This window comes from Homo sapiens, chromosome 4, assembly GCF_000001405.40.
Source record: "Homo sapiens chromosome 4, GRCh38.p14 Primary Assembly".
In the NCBI taxonomy this organism is placed as follows: domain Eukaryota; kingdom Metazoa; phylum Chordata; class Mammalia; order Primates; family Hominidae; genus Homo; species Homo sapiens.
This window is the reverse complement of record NC_000004.12, coordinates 165,872,765-165,898,821: the sequence shown is the minus strand read 5'-3', so window position 1 is coordinate 165,898,821 and position 26,057 is coordinate 165,872,765. Positions and strand designations below refer to the sequence as shown.

The 26,057-nt window shown below is 39.3% G+C and overlaps 1 protein-coding gene across 2 annotated transcripts in view; it reads right to left on the bottom strand.

The window, feature by feature from the left end:
* The window catches only part of TLL1 (tolloid like 1), a 231,221-nt gene extending 205,636 nt beyond the window's left edge, over nt 1-25,585 (bottom strand). For both annotated transcript variants that reach the window (NM_012464.5, NM_001204760.2), the window contains exon 1: nt 24,749-25,585. In NM_012464.5, coding sequence (NP_036596.3) covers nt 24,749-24,917 — 169 coding nt within the window. In that variant the 5' untranslated portion in view covers nt 24,918-25,585. The remainder of the gene's footprint in view (nt 1-24,748) is intronic.

Genomic DNA, 26,057 nt, shown 5'->3' with positions numbered 1-26,057 from the left:
TACAAAGAGGAGCTGGTACCATTCCTTCTGAAACTATCCCAAACAATAGAAAAGGAGGGATTCCTCCCTAACTCATTTTATGAGGCCAGTATCATCCTGATACCAAAACCTGGCAGAGACACAAAAAAATGGAAAAATTCAGGCCAATATCCCTGATGAACATCAATGCAAAATCCTTAATAAAATACTGGCAAACCAAATTCATCAGCACATCAAAAAGCTCATCCACCATGATCAAGTGGGCTTCATCCCTGGGATGCAAGGCTGGTTCAACATATGCAAATCAATAAACATAATCCATCACATAAACACAACCAATGACAAAAACCACATGATTATCTCAATAGATGCAGAGAAGGCCTTCAATAAAATTCAACACGACTTCATGCTAAAAACTCTCAATAAACTAGGTATTGATGGAATGTATCTCAAAATAATAAGAGCTATTTATGAAAAACCCACAGCCAATATCATACTGAATGGGCAAAAGCTAGAAGCATTCCCTTTGAAAACCAGCACAAGACAAGGATGCCCTCTCTCACCACTCCTATTCAACATAGTATTGGAAATTCTGGCCAGGGCAATCAGGCAAGAGAAAGAAATAAAGCATATTCAGATAGGAAGAGACGAAGTCAAATTGTCTCTGTTTGCAGATGACATGACTGTATATTTAGAAAACCCCATAGTCTCAGCTTAAAATCTCATTAAGCTGATAAGCAACTTCAGCAAAGTCTCAGGATACAAAATCAATGTGCAAAAATCACAAGCATTCCTATACACCAATAACAGACAAACAGAGAGCCAAATCATGAGTGAACTCCCATTCACAATTGCTACAAACAGAATAAAATATCTAGGAATACAACTTACAACGGATGTGAAGCACCTCTTCAAGGAGAACTACAAACCACTTCTCAAGGAAATAAAAGAGGACACAATCAAATGGAAAAACATTCCATGCTCATGGGTAGGAAAAATCAACATCATGAAAATGGCCATACTGCCCAAAGTAATTTATAGACTCAATGCTATCCCCATCCAGCTACCATTGACTTTCTTCACAGAATTAGAAACAACTACTTTAAATTTCATATGAAACCAAAAAAGGGCCCATATAGCCAAGACAATCCTAAGCAAAAAAAAAAAAAAAAAAAAAAAAGCTGGACTACCTGACTTCAAACTATACTATAAGGCTACAGTAACCTAAACAGCATGGTACTGGTACAAAAACAGATATATAGACCAATGGAACAGAACAGAGGCCCCAGAAATAATGCCACACATCTACAACCATCTGATCTCTGACAAACTTGACAAAAACAAGCATTGGGGAAAAGATTCCTTATTTAATAAATGGTGTTGGGAAAACTGGCTAGCTATATGCAGAAAACTGAAACTGGACCACTTCCTTACACCTTATACAAAACTTAACTCAACATGGATTAAAGACTTAAATGTAAAACCTAATCCATAAAAACCTTAGAAGAAAACCTAAGCAACACCATTCAGGACATAGGCATGGGGAAAGACTTCACGACTAAAACACCAAAAGCAATGGCAACAAAAGCCAAAACTGACAAATGGGATCTAATTAAACTAAAGAGCTTCTGCACAGTAACATCAGAGGGAACAGGCAACCTACAGAATGGGAGAAAATTTTTGCAATCTGTCCATCTGACAAGGGCTAATATTCAGAATCTACAAGCAACTTAAACAAATTTACAAGAAAAAAAAATCAAGAAGTGGGTGAAGGATATGAAAATTTCTCAAAAGAAGACATTTATGTGGCCAAGAAACATATGAAAAAAAGCTCATCATCACTGGTCATTAGAGAGATGCAAATCAAAACCACAATGAGATACCATCTCACATCAATTAGAATAGTGATCATTAAAAAGTCAGGAAGCAACAGATGCTGGAGAGGATGTGGAAAAATAGGGATGCTTTTACACTTTTGGTGGGAGTGTAAATTAGTTCAACCATTGTGAAAGACAGTGTGGCGATTCATCAAGGATCTAGAACCAGAAATACCATTTGACAGCCAGGTGCGGTGCCTCACGCCTGTAATGCCAGCACTTGGGGATGCCAAGGCGGGCAGATCATGAGGTCAGGAGATCAAGACTATCCTGGCTAACACAGTGAAACCCTGTCTCTACTAAAAATACAAAAAAATTAGCCGCACATGGTGGTGGGTGCCTGTAATCCCAACTACTTGGGAGGCTGAGGCAGGAGAATGGTGTGAACCCAGGAGACAGAGCTTGCAGTGAGACAAGATCATGCCACTGCACTCCAGTCTGGGTGACAGAGTGAGACTCGGTCTGAAAAAAAAAAAAAAAAAAAAAGAAATACCATTTGACCCAGCAATCTCGTTACTGGGTATATACCCAAAGGATTATAAATCATTCTACTATAAAGACACATGCACACGTATGTTTATTGCAGCACTATTCACAGTAGCAAAGCCTTGGAACCAACCCAAATGCCCATCAATGATCAACTGGATAAACAAAATGTGGCACATATACACCATGGAATAATATGCAGCCATAAAAAATGATAAGTTCATGTGCTTTGCAGGGACATGGATGAAGCTGGAAACCATCATTCTCAGGAAACTAACACAGGAACAGAAAACTAACCACTACATGTTCTCACTCATAAGCTGGAATTGAACAATGAGAACACATGGACACAGGGAGGGGAACATCACACACCGGGGCCTCTTGGGGGTAGGGGGTTAGAGGAGGGATAGCATTCGGAGAAATACCTAATGTAGATGATGGGTTGATGGGTGCAGCAAACCACCATGGCACATGTATACCTATGTAACAAACCTGCAGGTTCTGCACATGTATCCCTGAACTTAAAATATAATAATAATAAAAAAAGACTATACTTTCTCTGCCAAATTGTCTTTGCAACTTTATCAGAAAGCAACAGAAATGGAAGTATACACCTATTTCTGCATTCTCTATTTCATTCTATTTACGTATCTGTTGCTCTTGATGCCAAAACATGCCCTGTCTTGAGTACTGTAGCTGTAAAATAAGTCTTGAAGGCAAGAGCTATAAGTCCTCCCACCTTTTTCTTCTTTTATGAGATTATTTTGCCTATCCTAGGTTCCTTGCATTTCTATATGAATTTTAGAATTACAGTGTCTTTTTTTTTTTTTTTTTTTTTTTTTTTTTACAAAAAGTCTTACTGAGCTTTTTGGGGGATTGTGTTGAATCTGTAGATCAAGTTAGAGAACATTGTCTCTAACATCTTAACAATATTGAGTCTTCCAATTGATGAACAAAGTGTATCTTCCCATTTACTTAGGTTTTCTTTAAAATCTCTCAGCAATATTTTGTAGTTTCCAGTGTACTGATCTTGCACATACTTTGAAAGATTTATCCTTAAAATCACATATTTTAATGCAATTGTCAATGGCAATTTTGGCAGTTTCCATTTCTGATTGATCACTCATTATATAGAAGTGAAACCAATTTTTGTATGTGATCATATATCCTGAAATCTTACTAAACTCACATAGCAGTTTATAAGAACTGCTCTATTAGGAATTCCATTGGATTTCCACATAGACAGTCACACTGACTGCAAACAGAGTTTTGCTCTATCCTTTCCAATCTGTATTCCTTTGATTTCTTATTCTTGGCTTACTGCATTAACTAGAACTTGACTTATTGCATTGACAAGATCAGGTGTGGTTCTTCCCAGGAATGCAAGCAGGCCTTAACAAATTAACATGTGAAGATCAATCAGTGTAATTTATCTCATTAATAGATTACATATAAAACATGTAAATGTGGTAAGTTATACTGAATGATGGTCACACAATCTGTTTATTATATAATTTTAAAATTATATAGTCAATTTTTATAAAATGCATGTGCATGTATAAACCACATTTTACATTTAAACTGTTAATGTCACACACATAACACACACACACACACACACACACACACACACACACTCATCATTTGACAAAATCTAGCATTCCTAATTAAAAACTCCAGAAAGGTAGTAACAGAAAGGAACCTCCTCAACCTGATAATAGTCACCCATGAAAAATCTCCAGCTAATACCACACTTAGTGATGAAAGACTGAATGCTTTTTCCCTAAAGATAAGGAAAAAATACGAATGTCTGCTCTCACAACTTCTGTTCCACAATAAACATGGTTCTAATCTATTTAACGTCTACATTAATCTGTTATTTGCCACAACTTAAGGGAATTCTTTTAACATTTCTCATAGGTTAAGTTGGATGGCAATGAAGTCTTTCAGATTTTGTATATCTAGAAAAGTATTTATTTCACTTTCATTCATGAAAGATATTTTTGCTGGGTAGAGAACTCTAAGTTGACAGTGCATTTCTTTCATTATTTAAAGATGTTACTCCGTTAAGTACCAGTTTGCATTGCTTACAATAAGAAATCTGCTGTCATTCTTATTCTCCATGAGTAACTCCTCTGTATGTTCCCCTGTAGTGTGTTCTTCCCTCTGGCTTCTTCTAATATTTTCTCTTTATCACTGAATTTAATCAACTTGATTGTAATGTGACATGGTGCAGTTTTCTTCATGTTCCTTGTACTTGGGGATTTGTTGAGATCATTAGATCACACAGATCTACTGTTTTCACTAAATTTAGGAATTTTTGGCCATTATCGCTTCAGACATTATTCTATACATTGTCCTCCCCTGCTCCAATCTATCCCCTCTCCAGCAACTCTGATTACTTCAGTGTTATAATATAAGATATTCTAGCTACCATTTGTCTAATGATAAACATTTCCATTGTTTCCAGGATTTTTTGACTCTTAAAATAACGCTGTAATACTAATTGGGTGCAAGACAACAATGATTGAATTTCAATTTGTTGGTGGCTGGAAATGTTTATATTTCAATAAGTCTTTTTGAGTTTTATCCTAGGAAGCAGTAAAGTTGCTTGGATCCCTTCTGTATTTTTTTCTAGCTTTTTTAGGTGGGACCAGAGTGTTTAAATTAGGGTTAAGATCTCCTCATTAACTGTGGCAAACTCTTCTCAATATTCTATGTGACGCTCAATAAATTATGAAGTTGTACAAGTGTACTGCATGAGAATAGGTACCGTTACCTGCTCTGGGTGAGCCCCAAGGAATTTTTTTTCTTTTTTCTTTTGGTAGTTATTTCCTCAGCCATAGGGAGTGTCCTCCCATGGAAGTACTAATCAGTAGTGAGGTAAATCTTTGGGTTGGATATTCTGAATACAAGGTAGGGATTCTCTGCATGTCTCCAGAGTTCTTTCTCTATGCAGCTTTCTCCACTCTGACACTTCACCCTGGAAATTCTAGCTGCATTGGATTCTTTGAATTCCCAGCTCCACCTCTTCAACAGAAGGAGACTCTGGTCTCTGCCTGGATTCCTCAACGCTGTTGTATAGACAGTAAACTGAGGCACTCACAGGACTCACTTTATTTCTTTTCCATCTCCCAGCAATAACTTTTCTTTGCTGCCTGATGCCCAGTGTCTTGAGAACTATTGCTCCATATATTTTGTCCAGTTTCTTAGTTGTTTCAGTCACAATGATAAATGTAGTCCCTGTTACTCCATCCTGTACAGAAGCAGAAGTTCACATTGCTTGGATTTGTTAAGATTTTATGTAGTCCTATATCAAGAAATATAATAACTCAATTTGGACCAAATATCTTTAAGTAGCAAACACTCAATTACAAATCCTTACTAAAGATAGAGTTTAAAAATTATCATCATTCTTTGGGAGGTAATGTGCCTATAGAGTGATAGTCTCACTCAAATGGTCAGTGCTGACTTACATGCAGTCATTAATGACTCAGTGCAAGCACAGTTTGGATTTACATCAAAAAATGGCATTGAGGGAAATAGCTACCATCTTGAAAATGAAATCCAATATAAGGTCAGAATAATTTCTTTACAGAAAAAAAACTCTGTAACCAGATAAAGGCTAACAAAGAATGAACATAATACAAAGGCTTCAATATAAGGAATGCAAGAGTTTAAAGGGTAAGAGAGTCACTGAGGTGCTCAGACTATAAGCTGTCCCAAAACAAACATGTGAAGTAGTTTAGAATAATTCTCAGGGTTGCTTTCCTGCCTTCCTAGTGAATATGTTCTTAGCACATTTATGAAATGGGCCTGATCTTTCACTTTCCTGATTTTCAGATTAATGAATTAATAGTTATTCAGAAAAGAGTACTTGAATTTTAAAAGAAAAGAGGCATAAAGGGATCAATGCTTAACTCAAAAAAAACATTAATGGCATATTTTCAGGAAGCCACAATTAATTAGTGAATGGCACCTTGTAGGGCATCTCTATTCATACATACAAGTCAAGCATGATAATTGGAATTGGCTTATGACTTCAGAAAAGCATTATGGTGCCTCTTACATGAGGAATTTGGGGTTATAATCTCTAACAGTCCTTTAAAAGGTACATTGCCATAAATTGAAGCATAAGATTTCCTTTGAGGCCCTGTAACTGAAAGTTATTAGAGGAAATTTTGAATGAGTGTTGACATGGTTTGGTTGTGTCCCCACCCAAATCTCATCTTGAACTGTTGTTGTTCTCATAATCCCCATGTGTCATTGCAGGGACCGGTGGGAAGTAATTGAATCATGGGAGCAGTAACATCCATGCTGTTTTCATGATAATGAGTTCCCATGAGCTGTGATAGTTTTACAAGGGGTTTTCCCCCTGCTTCACTCTGCACTTCTCCGTGCTGCCGCCATTTGAAGAAGGATGTGTTTGCTTCCCATTCCACCGTGATTGTAGGCTTCCTGAGGCTTCCTCAGCCATGCTGAACAGTGAGTCAATTAAACCTCTTTCCTTTACAAATTACCCAGTCTCAGGTTTGTCTTTCTTAGCAGCATGAGGACTAATACAGTAAATTGGTACTTGTAGAGTGAGTTACTGCTGTAAAGATACCTGGAAATGTGGAAACAACTTTGGAACTGGGTAACTGGCAGAAGTTGGAAGGCTCAGAAGAAGATAGGAAAATGTGGGAAAATTTAGAAACTCTTAGAGACTTGGAGGGCTCAGAAGACAGGAAGATGTGGGAAAGTTTGGAACTTCCTAGAGACTCGTTGAATGGTTTTGACCAAAATACTGATAGCCATATGGACAATGAAGTCCAGGCTGAGTTGATCTCAGATGGAGATGAGAAACTTATTGGGCTGGAGTGAAGGTGATTGTTGCTATGCTATAACAAGGAGGCTGGTGGCATTTTGCCCCCAGCCTAGAGATCTGTGGAACTTTGAACCTCAGAGAAATGATTTAGGGTATCTGATGGAAGAAATTTCTAAGCAGCAAAGCATTCAAGAAGTGACTTGAGTGCTCTTAAAAGCACTCAGTTTTATTCATTCACAAAGATATGGCTTGGAATTGGAACTTATGTTTAAAATAAAAGCAGAGCATAAAAGTTTGGAGAATTTATAGCCTGATGATGATATAGAAAAAGAAAACCCACTTTCTGAGGAGAAATTCATCCAGCTGAAGAAATTTGCATAAGTAACAAGGAGCCAAATGTCAATCTCCAAGACAATGGGGAAAATGTCTCCAGGGCATGTCAGAGGTCTTCATGGCAGCCCCTCCCATCACAAGCCAGAAGGCTTGGGAGGAAAAAATGGTTTCACAGGCCAGGCCCTGGGTCTTCCTGCTCTGTGCGTCTCAACACTTAGTGACTTGCATCTGAACCGTGGCTAAAAGGGAAAAATATGCAGCTCAGGCCATTGCTTCAGAGGGTGCAACCTCCAAGCTTTGGTGGCTTATATGTGGTGGTGTGCCTGGGGGTGCACAGAAGTCAAGAACTGAGGTCTGGGAACCTCTGCCTAGATTTCAGAGATGTATGGAAGTGCCTGGATGTCCAGGCAGAGGTGTGCTGCAGGGGCAGAGCCCTCATGGAGAACCTCTGCTAGGGCAGTATGGAAGGAAAATGTAGGGTCAGAACACCCACACAGAGTCCCCACTGGGGCACTGACTAGTGGAACTGTGAGAAGAGAGTCCCCAGACCCCAGAATGGTAAATCCACTGACAGCTTTCACCTTGTGCCTAGAAAAGGTGCAGACACTCAATGCCAGCCCATTAAGGCAGCCAGGAGAGAAGCTGTACCCAGCAAAGCCATAGAGGCAGAGCTGCCCAAGGCCATGGGAGCCCACCTCTTGTGTCAGTGTGATTTGGATGTGAGACAGGTAGTCAAAGGAGATCATTTCAGAGCTATAAGATTTGACTGCCCCCCTTGATTCCAGAGTTGCATGGGGCGTATAGCCCCTATGTTTTGGCTAATTTCTCCCATTTGGAAGTGGTGTATTCACTCAATGCCTGAGCCCTCACCATATTTAGGAAGTAACTAACTTGCTTTTGATTTCACAGGCTGATAGGCAGAAGGGACTTATCTCAGATAAGACTTTGGAATGTGGACTTTTGAGTTAATGATGGAATGAGTTAAGACTTTGGGGGACTATTAGGAAAGCATGATTGTGTTTTGAAATGTGAAGATGAGATTTTGGAGGGGCCAGTGGCAGAATGATATGGTTTGGCTGTGTCCACACCCAAATCTCATCTTGAATTGTAGTTCTCATAATCCCCACATGTCATGAGAGGGACATGGTGAGAGTTAATTGAATCATGGGGGCAGTTACCTCCGTGCTGTTCTCATGATAGTGAGTTCTCATGAGACCTAATGGTTTTATAAGGGGCCTTCTCCCTTTTGCTCTGGACTTCTCCTTGCTGCTGCCATGTGAAGAAGGATGTGTTTGCTTCCCCTTCCGCCATGACTGTTAGTGTCCTGAGGCCTCCCCAGCCATACTGAATGAACTGTGAGTCAATTAAACCTCTTTCCTTTATAAGTTATTCAGTCTCGGGTAGGTCTTTACTAGCAGCATGAGAACAGACTAATAGACTGTAAACATTAATTGAGGTCAAAGTTGTATTATTAAAAGTTTTAATAACCACACAACAATGTAAATCAATTCAACTTATTTTAAATAAAGAAAAAATGGAAACCTTATTAATTGTTTTCAAAAAACTGAAATGACTGATGATGGTGAGCTGCTTCTCTATTAATATCAATAAAACAGAATGCAATAAGTATCACCTAAGCATCAAAAGATGCAGAAACATATTTCCAATCCACCTCACTGACAAAGAAAAGCATAATCCTACTTAGCTGTTCCACAAAGTTAAAGAATAATCAAATCTGCCTGAAGGCAGCAAGTCAGTACAGGTAACTTGTGATACCACTTTACGCAAACACTGTCTTTCCTCTGCAAATCACAATAGGTAGTTTGAGTTACATTTGGATGTTCTTCTCCCAAGAAATCTGAATTGAATCTTTTCAAGTGAAAGGTACAAAAATTTTTACCCTTACAATGAAATGTTTACAAATAATTCAAAAAACTTCTGGATTTATCACACATGCACAGGACTGAATGAATATCCTCAAAAGTCAGCTTAAACAAATAGTAGTTTGATTATTATAAAATCCCCATGTTAAGCAAATTAGATATCTGATATATTTTCAGAGAGGACCTTAGGGTTATATTTGATATATAACGATAAATGAGTTTCAAATAAAGCCATTTAATCATCATAACATCTAAGTTCTGTAACAAAGTTCCCTGATGATGTTTAACATTTAAAAGTCCATGTTAATGACTGCTGTTTCTGTCACAATGACAGACTAGGTACTGGCGCTGAGCTTCCTGCATAACTCAATATGCTAGATAAAGTATTTTTTAAAGCCCTGAATGTATCAATAGATGACAGAAGAGTGAAATATATTCATCACTGAGTGAATGAGAGAATCCAGAGAGATAAGCAGAGGACTAAAACCAGCTTTCAACTGAGGGCATTTGCCAAAATTTGTTGGCATGACCATTGAATTTTGATGTCTCATAGGGCTTTAAGGATAGAAGACATAGGGCAAGGCCCACCCAGGCTGGAAAGTGTAATACAATAATCCCTCCAAAATCAGGGATTCCCACATCTGGGGCTTCTAAGTATAAGGAAGAATGAAAATTAAACTCATACCACCCCAGGTACTTGCACACGAGAATTTTCTGGAAGCTTGAAACTAAGTAGAGGGGAGAAAAACAAATATCTTCTGAGACCACATAAGCAAGAACCATACCCAAAATAGGTAATAGGTCTGCATTCTGAATTGACATTATGACAGAAGCCTAATACACTCAAGCAGAGAATTTAGTTTAAAGTGATCTTGTGCTGTTACGGAGGCAAAAAAAAAAAATATTTTCCAGTGTATTAAAGGAACAAATAAAACCCAACAGGAAGAGTAGAATGAGGAGAGATTTAAGTCAATTAAACTGATAAACACAGAAACAAAGTAACAATAAACTGCATCCAGAGATGTAAAAAAAGGAATAGACTATGCCTAAATTGTCTTCATCCCAGGAATGCAAGGTAGGTTAATATTAGTAAATTAATTATTCTAATTTACCACTTTAAATGGTGAAATAAGGATAATTATATCATTTTTAGTAAACACAGAATTCCTAATTTGATAAAAAGTGCCTATGTTTAAAAAAATACCAAATAGAATAATTGGTAAATAATTGAAAGCATTCCCTTTAAAATTAAGAACAGAGCAAGCTAGCCCTCAGTCAGCACTTCTGTGCAACACTGGGAGGCTGTCAGCACAGCAAAAAAATAATTAAATTAAATTAAAAACAGAGGGACTATAAAGGAAGAAATAAAACCACGTTTATTTGCAGATAATCTGATTGCCTATATGAAGAATATACATATAAATTATTAAAACGTACAAGACTGTCAAGAATGTTGGAATAAAGTAAAAATATAAAAAATCAAACACATTTCTGCATAATAGCAACAACTGGTCTTAACAATAATTTTTTAAAGCTACATTATATCATCAAAAAATAAAAATATATGAATAAATCTATATCAAAAGCAGGCACAAATTACAGATAAAAATATTAAATATTAAACAGTATTTAAGGAGGCCTAAACAAATACAGATATATACCATGTTAATGGATTAGAATGTTCAATATTATAAAAACAATTCTCTTTAAAATAATCCATAGATTCAATGCCATGGCAATCAAAATGTAAATGTTGAGGCTTGACAAGTTGATTTCAAAGTTAATATGGCATACAAAGTCCAAATTTAACCAATATACGCCTGAAAAACAACAACATGAGGGGACCTGTGATACCAAATAAAGGATTGTATGCAAGTCAAAGGGTTCTCAAAACCAAATTCAATTGCTTTACAAAACACAAACTTAGCTTTTTATTGTTTAATACTTTGCTCATCTGTATCACTGTCTATCCAGTCACTAAAGTATGAAGCCATGAAGTCATCTTTGACTCCTCCTTTTCTTTTCTTTTCTTTTACTTTCTTGACCTTCACCCCAAAGCCATCCAGCTGGTCACTGGTCTCTTACCTCCAATCCCTCTTTTCTGTGGCTACTGACACGGTGCAAATGCAAGCACTCATCCAGTGCTTGCCTCTACTTCTACTATAACCTAACAAGCCTCCCTCCTCCCACTTTCTCATTACTTCTTCCACCAACTACACCAGCTCACTCTTTACCTCCTAACATATCTTTATAACATATGACTATAATCAAGCCAATGATCTGCTTTAGATTTTCAGTAAGCTCACTTCTCATTGCCAACAGGATCAAGGTCACACCCTGGGCTCTAAAGATCCCTTTACACTATTTTTCAGAATCATTTATTGCCAAAGCATTAACTCTTACACATCCTTTGCTCTGTCCATGTTAGACCATTTGCCACTTCCTGTATTTTCATAAAATTCAAGAACTTTCACAGCTTCAACTTTTATCTTAGTTATTTGACTCTAAAGTTTTGCCCCATCTTTTCTCCAGGAAGAAAATCACAGGACTTCAAGATCCAGCTTAAATGTCACCTTCCCTGAGATGCATAATTAATGCATTCCCTCCTCTGTGCTACCATAGAACAGTCAGCCCTCCATATCCACAGATTCAACCAACTACAGATGGAAAATATTCCAAAATAAATAAATAAATGCAATGGTTAAAAAATATGAATTTTAAAAATACAGTATTACTATTCTCATAGCATTTATATTGTATTAAGTGTTATATGGAATCTAGGGATGATTTCAAACATATGAGAGGATTGAATGGTTTATATTCAAATACTATGCCATTTTATATATAGGACTAGTGCATTCTCAGATTTTGCTACCTGGAGGGGTGCTGGAACTAATCCCCCATGAATACCAAGGGAGACTGTACTTTGTTTACTGCATTTTTATATTGATAGTTAAAGTATTTGTTACTTTTTTTCTAGCAGATTTTGAAATCCTTTTAGGAAGAGAACACATCTTATTTGTGTACCCCCCAGGCATATTCCTGAAACATATCATATACAAAATAGTGCTTGTATTAATTTAAATCTGTACAGTGCATCATAGTTTACTAAGACCTTACACATGTAATCATTACATGTTTCATAGACTAGGGATCACTATCCCCACATTACAAATGTGTGAACTTAAGCTCTGAAGCACTTGTAGGTAGACCAAGATAATATAATTAAACAAAACAGCCAACACTTGCACCTAAGTCTCCTACAGAATATCCAGTGCTCTTTTAATTCAATTACACTACCTAGATTCATTTATTGATTTCTACTGGACTTCCTTCTTACTATTATAAAAGCCACAAAAGTGAAACTTGCTTTGGCGATGATTTGAAAATTTAAACTCATCAAAAAAATACATAAAATGAGTTAACAAGAATAGTTCCTTACTAGACACTTTAAGAAAAATTAAAGGTTTGTGGAGCTGAATTTTATGAAGATAAATAACAACATCCAATTGTGGCAAGCAGAAGTATATTTTCAAGGATATATTCAAGTAATTAATTAATATAAGGATATATCTGTTAACATGTCATGTACTTGGTAAAATGCTTTCAGCCAGAACAATTTTCCTGTAGTTTTGTTGCCTATAGTTCTTCTTCTCTCCATTATGAACACTGACCTCAAACTTGACAGAATAGGCTTTCCCTCATCCCAATATACCAATCCATTTTTTTCCTGTGAAAAAACATCCGACTGAACAACCTTCAATTCTGATGGTAATGTGACACTAACATGCTCTGATACACACGTAAGATATCTGCTATTCTCACATACCTTGCTACTCTTTGGTAGTTTTTTTTTTGTTTGTTTGTTTGTTTTCAGAAGTAATGAGATAGGAAGAGGGAGGGAAATTTAGGCATTGATTGCTTTCGGGGCTAATTCTGGCAGACAAGTCATGAAATTGCATGGCCTACTTCAGGGCCTATGGTGGCTGCCATGATATGAACAAAACTGTCAGAAACCTGAGGGTTTAGCAAGAGTGACCCCAGGAGAGGTGTGAACACCTTCCCCTTCCTCTCGGTGTACAGCATATGCCCCCTGGCACTGCAACTTCTTGGTACCACTTGAGAGGAGCTCTTGCTTCTGATGTCAGAGACACCAGGATTCAGATTGCTTTAGGCCTCGAACAGCCTTAGAGATTTCCAAGCCTCAGAGGCTGAGGCCCAGGAAAACCAAAGGATGTCCTGAGGGCAACACAAATACAGCCATAGAGCCAGTACTGGAGTTTCCATTTCTTGACTACCAGTCTAGTTTGTTTTCCAGTTTTCATACCACTACCCAGATACGGTTATTCTTTAAAAAGCAAAACTTATATTTACTTTTCAAAATCACAGTAGAACAGGAGAAGTAAAAAGAATAAAGATTCACCTCATTCATTTTACTGTTTATTTTTGCTTCTACTGACCTATAAATGTAGAAAAAGTGAACCCGGTAACTTCAAATGTATTTAAGAATAAGGATACAGTGTGAAGAACAGAATTGTGCTCTACCAAATAATGTGGGAGAAAACAAGAAACAAGTTGAAATTTTATTTATTTTATTTTATTTTTATTATCATTATTATTTGAGACAGAGTCTCACTCTGTCACCCAGACTGGAGTGCAGTGGTGCAATCTCAGTTCACTGCAACCTCCACCTCCCAGGTTCAAGCAATTCTCCTGCATCAGCCTCCAGAGTAGCTGGGATTACAGATACTCACCACCATGCCTGGCTAATTTTTGTACTTTTAGTAGAGATGGGGTTTCCCCATGTTGGCCAGGGTGGTCTCAAACTCTTGGCCTCAGGTGATCCACCTGTCTCAGCCTCCCAAAGTGTTGGGATTACAGGCATGAGCCACTGCGCCCAGCCACAAGTTGAAATTTTAAAATCAAGTTGTGTGATTTTAAAACCAAGCTGCTTACACAGACTACTTCCAAATATCTGCATAAGCAATTATTGGTTACACTTGTACTAGTCCACTGCCAAATAACAAAGCCTACAAAGTACTTACTTAAAAGTTGCAGTGCTCCCCACAAAGCATTATATTAATATTATATTAATCTTCATTTATCTTGAGTAAAGAAAAATCCAGCAAAAATGTATAAGAACACATATTCAGATTACCATAATTTATAATAGTATCTATTTTCAAATGCTAAATTAAAATAACTTAGCATGCAATTATGTGATTAATACATAAACAACTATTTACACATGAGCAATCATCTACCTGCAAATGGCAATGTGAAGACTATACTAGGTGAGGCATACTTCTGTAAATCCCTCGGGTAAATCTATGTTTCCTTCATAAGAATGTTCAAAAATTGTTTAATGAATTAATGAATATTTGTAGTTTAGAGCCATGTGCTCAAACTTAGCTCTGTGTAAACATAGATTGTGAATATCTAAGCTCTTTAAATTGATCCAGATGGCAAACAAAATCTGAACCAGAAATTACCGAAAGACTATATATATAGCCAAGACTCTATTCACACTTTAGTCAACGTGAATTGAAAATTGTCAATATATTTTGAGTGTATTAGGCATATGAGCAAATAGCCAAGAGAACAACATACGGAAAATGTTTCTATCGGTTGCCTCTGGTATCTTTTAAAACAAGGTCTATTGGGGGGATTTATCTTCTCAATTGAAAAGTTCAGAGGACTTGAGATATGAAATGTTTTTACGCATGGGAAGAAACAAAGACATTTATCCCACAAATGATTTCATAAAGATCATCTCTCCACAAATAAGTAGTTGTGATTAAAAATCCTCCACATCTTATATATTTATACTACTGTGGATAAAATAATACAGTGTTTGTTATGTTCCAGAAAAAGCGATGTGTACTTTACAATTAATTCTTATAACAACATCATGAGGATTATAATATCACCTTTATTTTATAGCTCAAAAAACAGAAATGTAATGAGGTTAAATAACTTGCTGAAAGCCACACATGGTTATTATGTGGGGGGTTTAGTATTAGAACTCATGGCCCTCTCACTCCAAAGCCCACATTTTTAATAGATCATTATTCTGCCTCCTTGAAACCTGAAAAAATAATTTTTAAACCAACTCCAATTTGCAAAAAAGTACCCACATAAAAAAAGAAAGGAAATGAAAGGCAGACCATGGCAGCTCATGGAGTCCAGAGTTTTGAATTCAAAATCTGATTCTATCACTGGGAGATATTAACAAAGTTAACTTAAAACACTCAGCTACACGTGCCATTCAATACAAGAACAAGATTTAATATAGGACACTTGTTTTTGAAGCATACAGTTTTGCGTATGAAGCCCCATGCTACTTCTGAGTTCCATTGTATATGCCAGAGATCTGTTCTTACTACAACTATTTTCATCCTGGAACAAACTGGAAGTATATCCTACAATCAATATCTTCTTTCTGTGCGTTAACTCTTGGTCACTAGTTCATCTGTTCTTACTGTAACTATTTTCATCCTCGAACACGTATCTTCTTTCTGTGTGTTAACTCTTGGTCAGGAGTTCACCCAGCAAACTGCTCACAAATCTCTTCCCAAGTAGAAGCTGAGGCAGGCAGATCACCTGAGGTTGGGAGTTCGAGACCAGCCTGACCAATATGGAGAAACCCCGTCTCTACTAAAAATATAAAACTAGCCGGGCGTGGTGGCGCATGCCTGTAATCCCAGCTACTCGGGAGGCTAAGGCAGGAGAATCCCTTGAACCTGGGAGGCGGAGGTTGCAGTGAGCTGAGATCACACCACTGCACTCCAGCCTGGGCAACAAGAGCAAAACCCGTCTCAAAAAAAATTGAAAGAAACATAAAGCAACACAGGGGCCCTGATTTAGGTCATTATTTCCTTTACCCGTTCCAGATACCAAAACCCAATTATTCTGACCCTGGTGACTGCCTGCCAGCTACACTGCATTCAGGTTTAGTTATATACTATTTCTTCTCTTGGGACTAAAGAATATACATATATAAAAGAAAATTTTCCACTAGGTCTTAGGTAGAAAAGAAAGAGGCAAGAAAAAAATGAGAAGCCTGTTTTACCAGATTTTGTTCTACCACTTGTTAGGAAACAAGTACAAGCAGGAATTCTTCATCCTAGAAAATATGATAATTTGCTAAATAATAATATGTTTTCTTCAAAAAAATTATAATACCCGTATAGTAAATATTACATATGGTATATATTTTGAATTTGCCAGACTTCCTCCTCTTAGGAAACCAGGCCAGAGTTCCAAGCAGTTTATTTGATCCTATTATCTCTAGGAGTTTTCAAGCATTTGACCTTAGGCTTTTAGACAAGTTAGGATTGAAAAAGGTGAAGTTATTTAAGTAACTTCACACAGCATATTTGTTTTCTCAAAGGCATTCACACATAATTTACATACATAGTGTACACTGTAAACCACTTTCCTGAATTTTTTTCACCTGCATTTGAAAGGATGTTCTTGCACTCTGTATGGGCTCATAATCATGAATTCAATGAATACTCCGAGTAAATTTAAAGTGTGAAACAACATGTTACCATACAAAATGTCAGAGCCTGTGCCAGCAGCAGGGCACTCATGACTAAATTCTACCCACATCCAACCCAGCCCCTGTCTTAATGGACATGGAAAGCCTGCTGTCACAATGCATATACTTGAGGCTACATACAGCATTGTCTCCCCTACACTATTCACCCTCAAACATGTCTCTAATCCTATTAAAATTAGTCATTTGCATTTTTGTTTGTTTCATCCATAAGTAGGTATTTCACTCGTAACTTCTCACACTACGAGAATGCTCTCAAGAAGGAGGAGGCCCTGCACTAAACTCCATGTGATTATAAAACACTGGTCTTACTCTGACAATACAGTACGTGGCTTATAAAAACGCAAGAACACTAAAAGCAAGAGGCATTCTCAACAAAGAAATCACAACGGATGGATGTCCACCACCATGTAAATTGACAGTCTCACTGCAGAGCCAAGTGTGAGAAATTTGAAAAAGGAAAGTCATCAGAAATATAGAAACTCAGGTTCAAGCCCTCACCACTTGCCTGTTTTCCTCACGTATCCAGAAGGAGGGATAATGTTAATTGATGGGGATATGGTGAAGACAGGAGGCTCTAGATTTTTTAATGCAAAAATGTAAACTATGTTATGATGTGAGCCATGAAGAGACTTCCTAGATATGCGAGGTACTTGAGATAGGTGAGGACTCATTCCCTTCTTTAATATTCTCCATTTGGTGTTTCCTAATTATTCATGGTGTTTCTCCCGGGGATATTTGAAAGATCTTAACTTCTATGCAATGAGGCATATACTTAATTATCTTTAATCTGAATACGAAACACAAAATACCATAAGCCTCAACTATTAGGTATTTGTGCTCTGAAAAGAATAGGGCAGAGGAACAAAGTTCCATCTTTTCTGGATGGTCAATCAACTGAGCTAATGCCAAGGTGGTTTCCAACACTTAACAAGAAACTGAGATTATCCCAATAAACTCTTCAAATACACTCAGAGGCAAAGAAGAGAGCTCAGAAGACACTTACAGCAGCAACCCGGCCAGGAGCTACCAGAGGTGGCTCTGTGGTACACAATCCATGTGCTGACAGTTTAACATAGATGAGAAATGTAAGGAATGAGGGAACTATTTCACCCTTTTACCCCTCCATCTCTGCCTCCCTCATCACACAAATTAAATGTCGTCAATGGAAAACTCAACAACACAGAATATTTAAAATGCTGAGAGTAAATATATGGCTTTTATCTCCACCTCCGTAACAACTCCCCTGACTTGTAAAATGGTATGGTGTGTTAAAAACTGTTGAAGTCTTTTTTAAACACTGAGTTGAATGCTTCAAGTAGCATACCAATACATAAAACTAGATTTTGATTGGGAAAAAATAATATATTTAGAGCACTTCTGACCCATTTAATATATGATTTCAACTTTTTAAAATTACTATCATTCAAAGAAGTTCTTTTAAAAAATACAATGGATAGCATTTGTTTTAGCTTAAACTCTAAATGTAAGTGGCAAGAGAAGAGCTGAGTAAGATAAACACCACCTTGCTTCACTTTCTGGATTTCAATTAACACCTAATTTACTAGACTTCTTAATACAAAATATGTAGTTGAGCTCTTCAGAACAGCTTGACAGGATTAGCACACATTCTATAAGGAGCTGACAAAACTAGCAGTCCATTAGCCAGTCCACAATATCTCAAAGTCCAATAGTCAGTATTCCATTTTTAGGGCTCACAATGACAAGAATGAAATAAATAAGCAAGGGATTCTCTCCTCCTGCTTTCTGGAAAAGAACACGATCTATGTCATTCATTCCATAGCTTTGAGGTTATATATTTTTTAAGTTTTCCTTCCCAAGTGTTAGTATTCAATAGATAATTAAAGACAAAAACCACGAAAGCCATATTGCTAAATCATTCTGCCATATCCAGGGTTGGGGAGAGGACTCTGCACTCCTCAATTTAGGAAGGATAAGTCCACAATTAATTCCAGATCCTGGAATATGAAAGAACTGTTAAGAGGTTTCCAAACTCCCCTCATCCTGAGGATGAGGAAATCCTACATCCTCAGGAACCTTGCCAGGCCCCCGAGTCCTGGCCTAAGTCTGAGCTCAAGATGCTGCAGGGCGGAGTTCTGACAGTTCAGGGGAGCAACATGGCTCACCCACCCCCACCACTTCCCTAGACACCAGATGGTCTCAGCAGGATGTGCAATGCCTCATTTTAAATGGATTATTTGCCTCTGTCTTCTCTAAGCATTCTTAGAAAAGCTTAAGGAGGGTCCTAGTTTTAAATATTTTAAGCAGATGGGTCTAAGGAACTATTAGAATAAGTAATATTCTAAAATGAATGATGGTAAATTATCAGCACTTAATACTACCTACCTGAGTTCCAGAAGAATTTAAAGGCTAACCTCTTTTCTGTAAGCGATCATATCAAGGCCTCAATAATTGAAAGGTCTGAAGGATGATTAAGGTGACTAATAGCCATAAGAAGGTTTGCAAAGAATATTGTTTTAACTATTGGCAAGTAAGTCTCAATTTCACATGAGAGAAATTTGCTAAGATGTTCAAAAATAGGATTCCTGCATACACAATAGAGGAAGACAATATGGTTTCTGATGGAGGAACCATACATGGCTTATATTAGGCTTTCATAGAAAAGGAAACTGTCAGCCGGGTGCTCACGCCTGTAATGCCAGCACTTTGGGAGCTTGAGGCAGGAGAATCACTTGGTTCAGGAGTTCAAGACCAGCCTAGGCAACATGGTGAAACCCTGTCTCTACAAAAAAATTAAATTAAATTAAAATAATAAAATTAGCTGGGCATGGTGGCATGCACCTGTAGTCCTAGCTGCTACAGAGGCTGAGGTAGGAGGATTGCTTGAGCCTAGGAGGTCGAGGCTGTGAGCCAAGATTGTGCCACTGCACTCCAGCCTGGTGACAGAGTGAGGTCCTGTCTCAGAAAAAAAAAAAAAAAAAAAAAAAAAAAAAGGAAGCCATCATCAGGGTAAGAGGGAAAGCTGTGGAATTATGTTAACTTTTTCAAAAAGCCTTTTCTAGGCTCTACACATACGAACTGTTTCACCTTGGTCTAAGGAGGCCTACACTGAGTCAAGTAGGGTTGACTGGGCACCTACTTGAATCAAGAATTCTATGCATTATTACAGCAACTAGCTAAGAGAAGAGGTTCCACTTAGGTTTTGAATTTGTGAATGACACTACCCAGAAGCAAAACGTGGGAGGCTCTCAGGAGACTATGTAAACAAACAAAAAGGAAAAGAAAAGAAGAGCTTTTGACCTTGCTCAGTCTGAGGGAATATATTTAGGAAAAAAAAAATCTATCTTTTTCACACCTAACAACAGTAACTGCCATTGTGGACCAAATATGGATGTGGGCCCTCAAGACAAGGACTAACGACTTACTACTGACAAACCAGGAGCAGAATTCAAGTGTATGGAATATAATGTCTTATCCATCCCTTCTGCAAACACTGTATTTTGGCGACTTCTGAGTTGGCACCCAAGGCAAGAAGAGAAAAAAAAAAATCAAGATCTGAGGAAACGAAAACTAAAACAGAAGAAACAGATTAGGAGAAGCAGCTCTATGAAATGCATTTTTAAATGAGAGTGCAGCAGTCTAGAGAGGCACCGACTAAGAAATAAATGTTTGCATATCTAAAATTATGATGGAATAAAGATATGGAAAAGAACATCAAATTCGAAAATGGCCAGTTCAGCTAGAAAGTACAACACTGAGGGCCAAAAGAATGAGGCAATGTTACCTAGAAATTATAAACTGAGGAAAATTATCACAAGGCCTAGCATACTAGGACACTGGGGCACTGACTATAAAGAAAAGCAGAAATAGTTTTCTAAAATGCCAAAAGCCTATTTCTAGGTTTTTGGACTTTCACTCAGGAGCTTCTAGGTAGAAAGTCTTTTGTCAGGTGTTCACAAATGTCTACAGAGAATAAGGATATTGTTCTGCAAAAACATCTTACTCCACCAATTCTATACCCCTCTACCCAAAATTAAAAATACTAATTTCTTCAATTTCTCCTATTAGATATTCTATTTACAATTGCCTGAGCTTTCTTAATATTCCCGTAAATACAAAAAAAGAAAAAAAAAAAAGAAAGAAGAAGGGAAAGAAGGGAAGGAAGTAAAAAAGCAAGGAATGGAAGGGAGGGAAGAAGAGAAGGAGAGAAGAGAAGGAAGGGTATGTGTTAATACGCAGTTCATCAGGTATCTGCTTTTCCATGTAATCTGTACACATATTTGGCAGAAGACTAACTTACAAACTAAATTTGCCCAGGCTCCTCACAGATATTAATACTCAGATTCACATTTATTTCTATAGTACAACAATGAAACAGGACACCTCAGTCTCTGCTCTGGAATGAGCTCTTGCAGCATCAGCTTCCCAGTGTCCCTTGGGAGCCTCCTGACCTAGAGAGTAAGAGAAACCTGATTGTATATTCAGATGATTGTGTACTGCACTGATGAAAGACAGACAGATATTCATTTGAATTATCTGTATCTTTGTGTATATCTACTTATATAGAGAAATAAAGTACCTATATTTTGTCCTAATGGATTTGGCTATGTAAATATATCCGCAGCTGTGCTGCACTGACTCACCTACTATCACTTATACCTATAATGTCTTTCTGAATAAAAATCCTATCAAATTAACACAAGGATTCCTTCCTACCCTATAGTTTCATGAACTTGAAATCAGAATTCTGATAGGTAAACAAATTGTATTCTATTTCACAAATGTGTTGAGGATAGTGTAACTTTTAAAGTTGTAATTCAGAAACAAATCTCATTGGGTAACACACGTTTGATCTTGTTTAGAAAAAAGTTTGTAAATGGCAGTATCAACAGTCTATAGATATCGAGAAGGTATTGAGAACATATTAAATTCCTAACAGTAGTAATCCATTCCTGTGATAAACATTACAAACCAGTTATGGTCTCTGTCCTCAAGGATTTGAGTTTCAAAAATATGAAGCTATGATCTTCGCTTCACCTATATCAGATATGCAAGCAATCGCATCTCTAGTAGTCTGGACTCCTGGTAAACCTGGACTAATTTCTATTGTTATCATCTCAATGAAAGCCTCCAAAAGGCCAACTAAGAATGCAGTGTAATTGTCAAATACAGCCAGACTTGCAGCCAGGAAACTTGGAATTGAGTTCTGAATAATCTTAATGAAGACATGTAACCTCACTGGGCCTCTGCTTTCCTATCTGTAAAATGGGAAGAGTAACAAACTCTACCATATTGAGCTGTTGTGAACACCAACACTCAAAAGTGCTTTAAAACCACGAAGCCATGATTGTCATTGTGATATCAAGCCTCTGTGTACTTTGAGGAATATGAAGACCCTATTAGAGGAGCTCAGAAAGGGCCTTTTATTTCATGGGCCATGCCCTCCAATCTGTTATTTGGAAAGGGCAGATCAAAGATGCCCCAAGTGTCTGGAAAGTACCTTCTCTTTTGCTTTTGCATGGCTTTCTTTCACAGACCCGTCCCCATCTTCCTTATTTCAGTGATTTTTTTTTTTGACTCTTGCTTGGGATTTCAATGTAGTATTTCATTTTTTTTCTGTTATTGGAACTTTGATTTGACTTTCCCAGTGGTAAAAAGGAGGCACTAAAATTTTGCCTGTATTGAGCCAAGATGGTAAATTGAAGCCTAAATTCAAAAGCAGGGTAGATAATTTTAAAAGGGATTCACATTCTGTGCATACTTCTTAGCCCTCCACTTAGGCCATTCTTATTTCCCTCTCATTACACACACACATGCATGCGTGTGAACACACACACAGGTGTGCACTGGTATGCCTCTTCTCAAAAACAGAGAAGAAATAAGATTAGGGTAATAATCCATTCAACGTTGGTTTTATTGTTGCTTTATTTTCAACAGCTATATTCAAAAATAAACCAGCATCAAAGGGGAAACAAAAAGTAAATGCTATTAAAGTTTTTTTTTTTCCTTGCCTAGATGTTTATTTGCTGAGGAAACTAAACACTAATGTCTGAGGTGTGTTTCAATACACATGGTGCAAATACTTATCTGCTTGAATCTTTCACAGAACAGGGTATCAAAGTAGATGTTTTCCTAGACAATCTTTTGAAATAATGTACTTCATCTCTACCTTACCACAAACAAGAAAACGCACAATTTTCAGCAAGTTACAACATTATTCAAAAGAAATTTCTTAGCAAAAAGTACATTTAAGGAGTTGCAGAGAACAGATTCTGAATGCCCAGCCACTAGTCACCCACCACAGCAATCAGCATCTCCTTGTCCAAACCATCCGGGGTGGCCCAAGAAACTTTCAGTGGGAAAATAGATACAGTTATTAAAAGTGACAGCAGGGAATTCATCAGCAAAACTGAATTAAATCAGAATTCTGAGTTCCAGCCTAACAGGCTCCTGCTAAGCTACTCTGGCTTTTAAATAAGTACCTGCATTTAAGGATGCACCGAGAAAGATGTGATAATGTGAACACAACACACATACCCTTTTTGTCAGAACAATGGGTCATCAAAGGTAAAAATTAACTAGGGAATTTCCAGCATTTTTCTTCATTGTGTACACCTCTCCTTCCTCCAGGCCCAAGAGAGGGTGAATAATGCTTATCTAGTTATGGAAGGGAAGAAAAGCTAGTCACAGAGCAACCCCGCACGGAATCTGCAGAACCCTAGATATATTTGACTTTGTCCACTCCCTTCCTCTGCGCTTCGCTAAAGCCCACACCTCTTGGGATGGAACCTAACGTGCCTTCCGCTTACAAACCGCTCTGCTAGGTTAGCCCCAACCACCATGCAACCTTTACGAAGTTACTTGTGCGTCCACACTGAGCGCGGATCACCTCAGCCACAGCCCAATAGAGCAAGGAACCAGGAGCTCCCGAAGCCCGGACACGAGCCGCGGCCAGTGCTGGGCGCCCTCAGGCGCTGCGCTCACGTGGTAGCGGCCCCGGGCACGTGCGCCTCCGACCTTAGGCGGCGAGAGGGAAGCGCCGCCCCGCGCGCGCGAGAGGCTGGCAGCGGCGCCAGAGGCGTAGAAGGGAGGGGAAGGACCTGGGACATTCAGGGACCCTGCGAGGCAAGAAGCTGAGCTTCAGGCAGTGCCGGTCCGACTGCATTTCCCTGGGGTGTTAGCTGGAAGGAAGACACAAATTTGAATGGGGTAGCAACTTAAAAACATTTTTCTTTTCAGTTTATTTTAAATGGGCAAATGCATCAGAATCCCATCTAGAAGTGAGTTCTTCCGAGATTGTCACAATCCCTTTCTAGCCTGGAACCCACACTTGAAATTCCTGGTAAAAGAGGGAGCCAAGGTGTCTCCAGGTAGCAATGCCATCCTCCTGTATCTTTTGGGGAACCCTGCCAACTCGCTCTCGAACAAGCGCTGGGAAACCGCGCCCTGGGGGAGAGGGGAAAGAAGACGGTGTCCCTTCCATATGCATAAAGCCCGCTGAGTGTTGGAATTTAAAACCTACAGCAGCAAGCTATATTTACGACTTGTTTCGTTTTGCTGGGGGAGGGGAGAGGGATCAGAAACTCTAGGACCTTATTCCCAAACTGGGAGATGGGAGCTTGGCAGTGGATCCCACTGGCACAGAACTCTAGTCAACTGGGGCCGCAGCGGCTGCCACTTGCGGGTGGGGAAGGGAAGGAAAAGGAGGGGGAGAGAAGGAGGGGCGGCGGAGGGGCTGACGCGGGAGGGAAGGAAACAGGTGAGCTCCCACCGCCACCCATGGGAAACCCAGCGCAGCGGCCCCCGGCGCGCCACCGTCCCAACCTGGAGAGCCACTTACCGGCTTTACACGGGTCCTTGTAATCTATAGTCTCTGTTTTATCCTCTTCGTTCCCATCAAAAGTGTAATCATAATCGAGGCCAGCGCAGACCCATAGCTCCCCGTAGAAAACAATCCCCGAGGCCACCAGCCACACGAGCATCCTCGGGGAAAGCGTTCCCAACCCCATCCTCCTCCCCCGGAGGAAAAGGAGGGGACGGGACCCAGAGGTTAGGCAGCCGCGGTCCGCGCTGATGTGCGGGGCTAGGGGCACCGGTGCTCTTCTCCCCACCCGGAGGCTCCTCGGCGGGACCGGGGTGCTCAGGTGTCCGGAAACATGTGGATGCCGCCGGGACAGTAGAGAGGGCAAGCACTGCCTGTTACCCCCAGTCGCAGGGAGAAGTTGGCTAGGGGCCCACGGGTGGGCGGAGGGCAGGTAAGGAACTCTGCACTCGGAGGCGGGGAGGGCGCAGGCAAACTCGGCTCTGGCGGCGCTGGCGCTCGCAGCCTGCCAGGTCGTCCTTCTGGCTGCCGAACTTCCCGCGGCCGCGGCTCGGCGAGCGGCGCCCCGCGGGCTCAGCTGCCACCAGAGCTCGGACTCCCGCGCCGCGTCCCCGCTGCTGCCAGGACTCCGCGGCCGAGCGCGAGCCGCCGCCGCCTGAGCCCAAAGCCGCCGCCGCAGCTCCGAGAAGATGAATCCGGTCTGCACATCAGCACATCTGAATTGAAAGGGGAGACCGAGGAAGGGGGTGGGGGCCAGGCATTTCTACGCCGCGAGACCTTAAAAGCCTGCAGAAGCCAGCAAAGCAACTGACTGCAAGAGAGCAAAAGTGTGAGGATTTGGGGATGCACTGTTTGCCTTCCCCCCGCCAGCCTGTCTTTTTACCCTCTTCCTAACTTGAAAAAAAAAAATATTCGCACCATCTAACCCAATCACTTGCATCCTGCTTACTTATTCATACAATCAGGGTCAGGATCCGGACCACAGCCTCCTCTCTTGACTTCTTTTGATAGCCTTAGACAAACAAACAGACAGGAGCGCGCTGACAATTCCATTTATATTTTACCAAAGATAAAAATGAATATATTATGTATCTGTGTACGCAAACAGCAATTAATAGATGATGTACGTGTCAGTTGAGAGTGCCAGACCGGGGGTGGAGCGAAGGATCGTGATAACTTAGCTGCAAATCCATATTTCCCCTCCCCCCAAATAAACAGCGAGTGTGTATTTCTTTCCTTTGCTGCTGTTTAACCTTAGAGCAGCGCAGGAATGGAGGAAAAGTGTGCGAGTCTTCACGATTTTGGTAAGAAAATAAACAGACTACTG